This window comes from Homo sapiens, chromosome 6, assembly GCF_000001405.40.
Source record: "Homo sapiens chromosome 6, GRCh38.p14 Primary Assembly".
NCBI classification, from domain to species: Eukaryota; Metazoa; Chordata; class Mammalia; order Primates; family Hominidae; genus Homo; species Homo sapiens.
Window position 1 is genome coordinate 111,106,496 of NC_000006.12, and position 12,130 is coordinate 111,118,625.

Genomic DNA, 12,130 nt, shown 5'->3' on the forward strand with positions numbered 1-12,130 from the left:
TCAAGATGACTTTGGGTGTCTGGTGGCAACTGAGAATGGGTTATGGAAGAACGTCAAGGCAATGTAATCCCTATTATTTACGGTTACTTGAGAGGATAAATTAATCAGCGGTCACTAATCTTTGGATAATCACTCTATTGAGCTGGAACTATCCTTAGTATTTTGGAAAGCAAGTCAGTGAGTTAGAACTGTCAAAACTGATCAGCTTTTCTAAGCTTAATGATAAGTGAATAGAAACTAGTTGCCTTCAACCCTTTCCTCCCTGCATTGCAGCATGATCATTCTGTAACTCTGGAAATGGTTTATGGAACAACAGTGAAAATACATTGATACACTGTCTTGTGGTAGATTTTCAGATAGGCTTTAGACAAAGTTCAGAGCCTTTCCTCTAGCTGGGGATTAACAAAGCTGCCTTCATAGTTAAATGTTTGCACCCTGTGTATGCATTTTCAGTTACTAGAATTAGGTAAGTTAGTGTTATAAAATTGGTTTGAGTGTGGATTGTTTAGGAAGTGAGTCTTTTGGTGGCAGCAATTCTGTTATGCATTAAATAGATACATATTTTGAACTAGTCGACATTGTTTCAGTCTGTATTTATTAGATGCTGGGGTGGGTATGGGAATAAAGAAACGTATGAGGGGTCTTGGAAAAGTTCATGGAAAAAATGTACACTATGAAAAAAAACTGTGCATGGATTTCAAAATATTTTTGAACCAAAATCAACTTGTACTAACTTGTTACAACATGTCTGAACTTGTTACAACATGTCTGAACAGTTCGAGACATTAAGAAATGATATCGCACCAGTTTTTAAAAAGCGCCTATCAGGGTAACATGAATTCTGCTAAAATTGAAGCAAGAACAAACATCAAATTTATGGTGGTGCTTGGGTAGAAGGATGGTGAAATCATTGATGCTTTACAAAAAGTTTATGGGGACAATACTCTAAAGGAACCAGCAGTTTACAAATGGCTAACATCCTTTAAGAAGGGACGAGATGATGTTGAAGAGGAAGCCCACAGCAGTAGACCATCCGTGTCAATTTTCAAGGAAAAAATTAATCTTGTTCATGCTGTAATTGAAGAGGGAACTTTACATGAAATTTTAAACAAGTGGGATTGAGATCCTGTGGCATATGTCTGAAGGATTGTAATAGGAGAGGAAACATGGCTTTACCAGTATGATGCTGAAGACAAAGCACAACCAAAGCAATGGCTACCAAGAGGTGGAAGTGATCTAGTTAAAGCAAAAGCAGACTAGTCAAGAGCAAAGGTCATGATAAGAGACTTTTGGGATGCTCAAGGTATTTTGCTTGTTGACTTTCTGGGGAGCCAAAGAATGATAATATTTGCTTATTGTGTGTGTTTTGAGAAAATTAGCCAAAGTTTTAGCAAAACAAACAAATACCCAGGGAAGCTTTACCAGAGAGTCCTTCTCCACCAGGACAATGTTCCCGGTCATCCTCTCATCAAAAAAGGGCAATTTTGCAAGAGTTTTGATGGGAAATTATTAGGCATTCACTTACAGTCTTTTTTTTTTTTTTAGTTGGAGTCTTACTTTGTCTCCCAGGCTGGAGTGCAGTGGTGCAATCTTGGCTCACTGCAACCTCCACCTGCCAGGTTCAAGCAATTCTCCTGCCTCAGCCTCCCAAGTAGCTGGGATTACAGGCGTGATCCACCATGTCCAGCTATTTTTTGTATTTTTAGTAGAGATGGGGTTTCACCATGTTGACCAGGCTGGTCTTGAATTCCTGACCTCAGGTGATTCACCTGTCTCGGCCTTCCAAAGTGCTGGGATTACAGGCATGAGCCACTGTGCCTGGCCTATCTTACAGTCTTGATTTGGCTTTATCTGACTTCTTTTTCTTTCCTAATCTTAAAAAATATTTAAAGGGCACCTATTTTTCTTCAGTTAATAATGTAAAAAGGACTGCATTGACATGATTAAATTCCTGGGACCCTCAATTCTTTAGAGATGGACTAATGGCTGGTATCAACTCACAAAAGTATCTTGAACTTGATGGAGCTTATGTTGAGAAATGAAGTGTATATTTTCATTATCTTTTAATTTCATTCTTTAGTGAATTTTTTGAGGTCCCCTTGTATACATTTTAATCCTAAGGGAATAAAGAAAGGAGGAAGTCCTAGCCCTGTGCTGTCTGCCTAGGTACAGTGTCTGAAACACAGACCAGTATTCACCCTTTGAAATTTGAGGTTTCCATTCAGGAGGTTCTCAAAGAGAATAAATGAGATTGCTATGCAGGTGGAATCAAAGAGCACACGGCTTATTTATCATAATCAAAATAATGCCATTTTCATAACAAACTTCACCTGCTTATGTACATTGTAAATTGTTGCCTTGATAAGCTTCCCGGAGATAAAGTAATTCAGCTAAGTATTATTTCCAATCATAATTTTGTGTCATTATGAGCAACACAATACTATATATGGGATTGATTCACTGCAGAACTGGAATAAATATAAATTAGATCTTTAGAAAAGAAACGTAGATTTAAAAATCTTATGTTAGAAGGCTCAATTAATTAAATGTAATTAATTTTTTAAAATCAGCTTTATTGAGGGATGACTTAGATATTATATAATTCACAAATTTTAAGTGTACAGTTTGATAGTTCTGACAATCAAACTGTATACAATCATGTAACCACCATCACAATCATAATATAGTGTGTCCATCACCCCAGGGTGTACCCTCGTGATCCTTTTTGCAGTTAGTCTTTTTCCCTTACATTCTGGCTCCTGAAAACTTGATCTGCTTTCTGTCACTATAGCTGTGCCTTTTCTAAAATTTTATATGAATGGAATCATACAGTGTGTTTTCTTTTGTATCTGTTTTTCACTCAGCATGATGCTTTTGAGATTTCTCCTTGTTGTGGTATGTATTAGTAGTTCTTTCTTTTTTATTACTAAGTAGTATTCCATTGTATGCCTATGCCACATTTTTTTTTTTTTTTTTCGAGACAGAGTTTTGCTCTGACATCCAGGCTGGAGTGCAGTGGTGTGATCATGGCTCACTGCAGCCTTGACTTCCCAGACTGAGGTGATCCACCTGCCTCAGCCACCTGAGTAACTGGGACCACAGGTGTGTGCTAGTCTGTCTAATTTTTAAATTGTTTGTAGAGATGGGGGTCTCTGTATATTGCCCAGGCTGGTCTCAAACTCCTGGCCTCAAGCAATCCTTCTGCCTTGGCCCCTCAAAGTGTTGGGGTTACAAGTGTGAGCCATCACACCTGGCCTACCACAATTTTTTATCGATTCACATATTGATGGATATTGGGTTGTTTTCAGTTGTTGCCTATTATGAATAGAACTGCTATGAACATTTGTATGCAAACCTTTGTTGGGATGTATGTTTTTATTTCTCTTTTGTACATTAAATTTAAATTTAAATTTTGTTCTGTATTATTTGTATTTTTAAATTTCTCAAGTGGGTAATACTGTGTACTTTTTTTTTGAAATTAAAAAAATTGTGGCTGAACAAGGAGATAAAAAAGTAGGAGTGAGAGGACTCTGGAGAGTTACAGGGCTTTGGTTTAGAGGATTGGATGAATAGTGGTGCTGCCAATAAAGAAATTTAAATATGGCTGATATTTCCTATATTTAAGAAAGACCAAAGAGGGTCCATTGAAATGAGTCAGTGGGAAATCTCTGATGACTTCAGCCAGCACGCTTTCATCGGCCTGGATATATGGGAAGTGAAGTCTGATTATAGTCTGTGGAGCAGTGAATGGGAGGAAGAGATAGGGGTACAGGCTAAGAAGGGAGGAAGTCAAGTCAAAGGGAGAAGTAGGGTGGTAGCTAGAGGAAGATTAGAGTCAAGCGAGGGTAACAATTTTTTTTTTTTTTGAAGATAGGAGTAGCTTGAGAACTAACTTAAAGAAGGAGCCTGTAGAGAGGGAGGAGGTGAAGTTACTAAAGGTCTAATTGATGGGGTAAGGTTCATGAGCAGATCAGATCTTTACAAGGAAGGTTCTTGCTGGGGGGCAAGATTCAAAACCCCTATTCAGAACCAGGAGAGAAGAAAGTAAGAATGGGAGCAAATGTAGGTAGGTTTGGTGAGGATCAGGAAATGGAGGGGAAGAGGTCATTAAATGTGGTCCTGGGGTTGAGCAGCAGATTGGAAGAGAATGGCAAAAGTTTGGGAGCTGATTAGTGATAAGGAAAAGGTTTGAGAATCCGATGAAGATTAGAAACCATGCATTTGTAGTGAAACTTGTTTCTAAGATTGTGCCCTTACCCACCTCCAGCTGTGCTCTGATAGGTGAACTATACAATTGATGTAAGGCTGGCAGATAATCAAAGCCAAGAAATTTCATGTTTTCTATCTATTTTCACTTCCGTGCCATATAGCTTCTCTCATATAGTACTCATATGTTTTGAGTTTTTGGTGAAGCTGATTAAACATTTAACAACTTTTTTTTTTACATTTTTTATTGTGACAAAACATATATAGCATAAAATTACCATTCTGGTAAATTTACCAAAACCCATTTATAGCATAAAATTTACCATTTTGGTCAACTTACTGTAAATTACTGCCAGTTCTGTACAGCCATTTGTTTAATGCAGTCTGCTCTAATACCCTCCAAGGCAAAATTGCAAATAAAAACCTGTTTTGATTTCTACTTAATTTTGGTAAATTTACCAAAAGGGCAAATTTTATGCTATAAATTTTTTTTGTTTTGACATTTAAAATATGTTTTGTAAAAAAAATTGACAGATAAAATTGTATATTTAACATGCATAATGTGATGTTTTGTATTATGTATAACATGATGTATATGTCATACATAACATATATACATTGTAGAATTGTTAAGTCTAGGTAATTAACAAATGCATTACCTCACACAGTTATCATTTTTGTGGTGAGAACATTTTAACATCCACTCTCTTTAAATTTTTCAAGAATAAAATTTTATCATCTGGTCATGGTGGCTCACGCCTGTAATCACAACACTTTGGGAGGGCAAGGCGGGAGGATTGATTGAGACTAGAAGTTCTAGACCAGTCTAGACAACATACTGATACCCCGTCTCTACAAAAAATAATAAAAAAGAATGCAATATTGTCTAAATTTCTTGAATTTATTTTTCCTACCTAATTGTCGTTATATATCCTTTAACCAACGTCTGCCCATTTCCCTCTCCTCTCTAACCAGTCCAGCCTCTGAGACCATTGTACTTTCTATTTCTATGAGATCAGCCTTTTAAGATTCTACATGTCAGTGAGGTCGTGTAAGTATTTGTCTTTCTGTACCTGGCTTGTTTTACCATTGTCACCATTTATAAAGTGTACAATTTAGTGGCATTAAGTACATACAGAATGCTGTTCACCCATTACTACTGTCCTACAATTTTAATTTGAGGCATGACTTTGTCATCTCTCTTCTATCCTTTGTACCATTCTTGATCTATAAACTCAACAAAGTCCTTAACTGAGTAGAATATTTTTGTATGTGTGTATAGATGTGTGTGTGTGTATATAGGTATGTATAGATATAGATATAGATATAGATATAAAATTTTTTTTTGAGACAGAGTCTTGCTCTGTTGCCCGGGCTGGACTGAGTGGCATGATCATGGCTCACTATAGCCTCTACCATACAGGCTCAAGCAATCCTCTCACCTCAGCCTCCCAAGTAGCTAGGACTACATGCATGCACCACCATGCCTGGCTAATTAAAAAAAAATTTTTTTTTTCTAGAGATGGGGTCTCTGTGTTGCCTAGGCTGGCCTCAAACCTCTAGGCTCAAGCAGTCCTCCTGCCTTGGCCTCCCAAGGTGCTGGGATTATAGGAATGAGCCACCGTGCCTGGCCAGTATTTGTATTTTTGATACTGAGCTTAATTTTGGCAAGTGCTGTGCAAGGCACAAATTGTGGTGTTAGCTTTCTAACTATTTGGTTGTAATTATTTGTTAATATCTGTCTTTCCTAGTCATGGAAAGTCCATGAGTGCAGGGGCTGTGTCTGTCTTGTTTACAACTATATTTGCGCTGGCCAGCACAGTGCTTTACACATAGTAGACATTCAGTGATGTTTCTGAACAAATGAAAGTCCTTCGCTGCAAGAAGAATTTATTTCAGTTTAATAAGTTCTTTCTGAATGCTTCATATGAAGTAGGCAAAATTTGTATTCACATATTAATACAGATTATAGGTATGGCACATTCCAATGTCTATTTAATTAGTAGAAATCAAAAAGAGTTTTTATTTGCAATTTTGCCTTGGAGGGTATTAGAGCAGACTGTGCACTAAACAAATAGCTGTACAGAATTGGCAGCAATAATCCCAAAGTTTGAAGGCTGTAGGTTAATTAGGATAACTTGACAGGAAGTGAGTTAATCAAATTTGAGAGTTTAATCTTCCAATAATTTATGTTCAGACATACTTCAAGTATATCAGCAGGTAACAGGAACTTTAGTTGCAGAATGCCCCAAAACACAAGAACTCCAGTGGATTTTCTGGCTTCCAGGAATGTTTTGGAGGAAGAAAAACCAATAAAATGATTTGGGGGTCATTTTGTTCCATTACTCTATATTAAATATACTAGAATTTAAAATATTAAATTTTAAAAGATAAAAAGATGCAGTTTACCTATTAACAAATTAAATAATTTAGGAATTCTACTTAGTTCTGTAATACTTTAATATGAGTAAATATGGGCATTTCTGTGTTAGCTAGAATTAGATAGAGTATTGCCATTTTTTTCAACTGGCTTATGGTTAAATGGAAGTAAAGGGGCAAACTACACATATAAGAATTAGTAGTACAATATTTAATACACCCCTGTAAGAGTTATCACAGTGTGTCCTCTGTGAAAAGTAAGGGCTCCATGTGTGCTTGTGAAAAAGGCCACTGGAGGCCCTTTTCAAAAATTAAATCTGCCTCCAGCAAGGTGTTTTTCGATCACATGGAAAGGGGAAGAAGAAGCTATCAGGAGCTCTGGGGTTTTTTTTGTTGTTGTTTGTTTGTTTTGCCACTTTTAACTCTCAAGCTAAAACTGGGGTTTCATTTGAGGAACCAGTAATAGAAAATTTCTTATGTACATTCAGCAAAATCTAGTACTGAGTGGTTACTTTGGCTTTTCATTGTGGGGATTGTGTGTGTGTGAGTACATGCACGCACTTGTGTGTTTAAGCGTGTAAGGCAGACAGACAGTGGGTACAGGTCTTTGAAATGGACTTCTTGGCTAAAGTAATAGAGAAAAAGAGGAATACAAATAAGGGAGGAGGGACAGGGAAGAGCAGAGTCACAGGAAACAGTGAATGAGGCTGCAGTCTCAGTCGCCCTTTCTTTGTCCCTCCAGTGTTGTTGCCTGTCTTATGATGATGCTGGTTTTCAGCCAACCTTGAGTGAGTAAAAGCCGGGTCTGAGGTCTCAGTGCCTGCGTGGCTGATATGAGCAGCTTGCATTTCTGACTGGGCCCTGGAGCAGCAACAGCACAGATTTCCAGGAACAGTTCCTCTTGTCATTTTTATTCCTGAGTCATCAAATTTAGTTATTCAGACGTCTGCTGTTCCCAGCTACATACAGATCAAACAAGCAGGGAATTTTTTTCTTTCTCTTCTCTCCCTCTTTTTTTTGTATTTCCATCTTGTTTTGTATACCTTTTCTTTGTTTAAGTCAAGCATTTGAACATCACTAGTTACCATTTCCTTTAGCAAGCATAGGACTTCTGTCTTACTTAAATGTCTTCTAATGCTGTGATGTGTCACAGTTAGTTGAGACGTTAAAGATGTTCCATACATGTGACTACATTGGTAAATCTCAAAAACATCATATCGAATGAAAAGACAAAGTTGTGAAATGTCTGATGTGATGCCATTTCCTTAAAAAGTCATGTAAAGCAATCCTACCACATCTCATAGAATCTAAAAGGCTATACTGATGCTAAGATGCACTATTATTTTCTGTACACTGAGAAAGGGGGAAAATTGCCACTTAAATTGTGATGTAATGTCTCATTATGGATTGTAAGATACATCTACATTTTAGAAATGGTATAATGTTAAAAATATGCATTTTAAATTGAAGGTAAATTTAATTAAATTATTTCAAAGGAAATAAGGTAAATGTATTTTATTGAAGCATAGTTATGTAATAAAAATAGAAAAGCATGCATAGGAATGCTATTTAGCCAATACAGGATGTGGTAATCTCTATAAAGGGAGGGAGGGAAATGGAGGGGGGAGGCCAGAGGAGGGGCCTCATCTCTGTAGTTTATTTTTTAAAATTATAAAGCAAATATTACCAGAGTTAAGATTTTACAAAATTCATTGGTAAGCACCTATAATTTTCTGAGTGCTTTCAGTATTTCATAATGAAAAGTATGTATTTTAAAGGTACGTTATCTATTTATTTTTATTTATTTTTTTTGAGACAGTGTCTCATTCCATCGCCCAGGCTGGAGTGCAGTGGTGTGATCTTGGCTCACTGCAACCTCCTTAAAGCTACATTATTTAAAAGTCACATACAAAGCAAGTTGCAGAAGCCTGTATGTAGTGGATTCTATTTTTTTTAAATAGTATTTAATTGTATGTTCTTCTACACTTTTTCCTATGTCCATCTTACCATAGCTGTGCCTTTTTTGGTGGAAGTGAGGACAGATTGCTTTCCACATCTCCATTTTTGTGTCTGAATTAAAAGATGGACAAGTATCATGTATTATCTTAGTAGTCATCAAACAAGGAAAAAGGTTTCTTTGTTTGCTTGTTTTTTTTAGATGAAGTCTCCGCCCAGGCTGGAGCGCAGTGGCACGGTCTTGGCTCACTGCAACCTCTGCCTCCTGTGTTCAAGCAGTTCTCTGCCTCAGCCTCCTGAGTAGCTGGGATTATAGGCGCCTGCCATCACGCCGGCTAATTTTTGTATTTTGAGTAGAGACAAGGTTTTGCCAAGTTGGCCAGGCTGGTCTTGAACTCCTGACCTCAGGTGATCCACCTGCCTTGGCCTCCCAAATTGTTGGGATTACAGGCGTGAGCCACTGTGCCCGGCCTGGAAAAAGTTTTTAATGGTAAAGATGTCATGGAATGAATAGGATTGGCTGGCATTATTTCTTGCTGTTAATAAGCAGTGAGAAATGTTTCCATTATATGTTTCTTTGAAGCCAGCTTTCTGGTTGCTCCCTTATTCTTTCTTTCTCAGGCATGTGGTATCTAGAAAGGGTCAGGAGTACCTTGATAAAAATTATTGTACAAGTTGAGCAAAACTCAGTAGTATCATGCCTAGAGATCTGATAAAGAGGCACTTTTAAAATAGAGCCTTGAAGCTAACAAACTTTTTTTTTTTAACCCCTTTACTGAAACCTAAAAAGAGGTCTGCAGTTTTTCCCTCCTGTCACCAGATGAAAGGGCTGTAGTAGTGTTTGCTTATTCCTCAGGCAGTGAGGAATCAAAGGACTGAAGGGGTGTTTGTTTTATCATACTACTTGTAGGGACCCCTTACCTCCTATACCCATGAAAAAGGAATATTTCTTATATCCCATAATATTCTTTTAGTATCACACTTAGGTTTTAATGTCCTTACTGTTAGAGTAAAATAATTTGGGCAAGACCAATTTTTTAAATGGCAAATATAGTCACATCACTTGATTCAGAATCTCACTCCCTAGCATCTCGCGTAATGACTCATAAGAAAGAAAAAGCTAAATGCATGAAGAGGTTCACTATACCATTACTATAAAAAAGTAAAAATTTGTTTTTGTTATTTTTTTTTTGTTTTTTGAGATGTAGTCTCTCTCTGTTGCCCAGGCTGGAGTGCAGTGGCGCAATCTCGGCTCACTGAAACCTCCGCCACCTGGGTTCAAGCAATTCTCATGCCTCAGCCTCCGGAGTAGCTGGGATTACAGGCATGCACCACCATGCCTGGCTAATTTTTGTATTATTAGTAGAGACGGGGTTTCACCATGTTGGCCAGGCTGGTCTCGAACTCCTGACCTCAGGTGATCCACCCACCTCAGCCTCCCAAAGTGCTGGGATTACAGGCATGAGACACTGCACCTGGGCAAAAAAAGTAAAAATTTGAAGTCAACTTAAATGCCCCCAAATACAGGAATGGTTAAATGCTGATGACCTACTTTATGTACTATGATGCAAATGCAAATGATAATGGTTACTGTGCAGCAACATGGAAGAACTTGGTGAAAGCAGGATGTACCACATGACTGTAACTCCAAAATGTGCTTGCATGTGAGGAGAGATCAAGGGAATATAGAAAAATGAAGACATAGTTGTGTTAGGGTGGTAGAATTTTGAGTGGATTTCTCCCCCCACTATTGGTAAAAATTTTTGTACTTAATTCGTTGTGGGCAGCCAGATCTTTTAAAGGTAAATTTGAATTTCTCTTTAAGAAAATGGCAGACAGAAGGATGGGGGATACTAGAAAACTAAAAGTAGTGCCCCCTTTGAAGATAAAACTAAAACATTTTAAGCCTGGAATTGCTTTAGCAGTACATGTATTGATTATTTAATTTTGTCCTTTAGAAGAAAGTTGGCCCAACACAATTACATGGAAGTTGGGTTATTGAAGAGGATTGATAAAAGAAGTGGGAAGGTCAGGCCAGGTGTGGTGGGTCATGCCTGTAATCCCAGCGCTTTGGGAGGCCGAGGTGGGTGGATAACGAGGTCAGGAGATCGAGACCATCCTGGCTAACACGTTGAAACCCCGTCTCTACTAGAAATACAAAAAAAATTAGCCCAGCATGGTGTTGGGTGCCTGTAGTCCCAGCTACTTGGGAGGCTGAGGCAGGAGAATGGCGTGAACCCGGGAGGCGGAGGTTGCAGTGAGCCCAGATCAAGCCACTGCACTCCATCCTGGGCGACAGAGCGAGACTCCGTCTCAAAAAAAAAAAAAAAAAAAAAAAAAGTGGGAGGGTCAAAGCCAATGTGCACGTTTATTCTTTTGTACCACCAAATAAACCGAATTTTTGGACCAACTTTACTTTAGTCAATATTTGGTTATTTGCTTTGAAGCTATTTGTTTGCAATAATGCAATTAACATCCTCAACAGAGCCAAAGTCTGACCCTGAAATGGCAGCATCTTAACTAATTTTATCATTTGAATAGAAATTGAACCCTTTGAGGGCATGAAGTACTATTTCTTTTCTCTATACTTCTTGTTTTTGGTTTTTGCTTCACCACCGATTTATGACTACCAAAACCCCACAGATCCTGTAATTAACTCACAGCTGCCATCTTGCCACCGTAGATAGAATTCAGGAGCTGGTGATGAATGGGGAGAGAATAGAAAAACTAATAGACTGTAAGAATTTTAGACCTCTGTGGCCTTGCTGAACAATTAATCCAGCCCCTTCACTTTACAGGTAAGTAAACAAGTCCCAGGGACCCAGCAGTGAACCTGTGTCTTAGGACTTCAAATCTAGTGCACTTTCTGTTATACTTCAAGGAGAGAACTGGAGGGAGAGCGAAGCCAAAATACTGACATTTTAGAGGCTGCTTTTTAAGAAAGGATAGGACATTGGACTTGGTGTCATTATCATGTTAAGTTATAGAATTTTTAAAAACACTACCACTCCAAAACAAAAATAGGTAAAAGATACGAACAGGCAGTTCACCAAAGAAGAAATACAGTAGGCATGAAAGAATGCACAACATAATTTAAGAAATGTAAATAACAAATATCTATTGCTATCTCAAGAGAAAACATTTACTATGAGCTTTATTATTCAAACCATTGGCCTCATAGGGCTTCTTGTTGACAATCTACCCTAATTTTAGGAAATGTAATTATAACATAAAAAAATGAATGCAAATGATAAAAGACGAAGTATAACCCGCTCAATAAATTTTCTGAAAGTTATAGTAGTTTTAAACCTCTTTTTATTCATTCCCTCCAGTTCTGTCTAGCACCTGTAAAGATGAATTATTGGCTGGGTGTGGTGGCTCACGCCTGTAATCCCAGAACTTTGGGAGGCCGAGGCGGGCGGATCACGAGGTGAAGAGATCAAGACCATCCTGGCCAACATGGTGAAACCCTGTCTCTACTAAAAAATCCAAAAATTAGCTGGGCGTGCTGGTGCATGCCTGTAGTCCCAGCTACTTGGGAGGCTGAGGCAGGAGAATTCCTTGAAACTGGGAGGTGGAGGTTGCAGTG

At 38.1% G+C, this 12,130-nt stretch overlaps 1 protein-coding gene and 1 non-coding gene across 5 annotated transcripts in view, besides 1 other annotated feature; both read left to right on the forward strand.

The window, feature by feature from the left end:
• Positions 1-12,130, forward strand: part of SLC16A10 (solute carrier family 16 member 10) — a 143,692-nt gene that overhangs the window by 18,993 nt on the left and 112,569 nt on the right. The gene's annotated exons all lie outside the window — the stretch shown is intronic.
• Positions 410-1,609: an enhancer, noted in NCBI's record as "MED14-independent group 3 enhancer chr6:111428108-111429307 (GRCh37/hg19 assembly coordinates)". NCBI's record gives its function as "activates an origin of replication core promoter dependent on BRD2, BRD4, P300/CBP and CDK7 cofactors, and independent of MED14, by STARR-seq in HCT116 cells {active_cell/tissue: HCT116}" and the evidence as "EXISTENCE:reporter gene assay evidence [ECO:0000049][PMID:35650434]".
• On the forward strand, positions 7,339-7,444 carry SNORD166 (small nucleolar RNA, C/D box 166). Its single transcript, NR_145796.1, has one exon. It is a non-coding gene; the product is annotated as a small nucleolar RNA, C/D box 166 (small nucleolar RNA).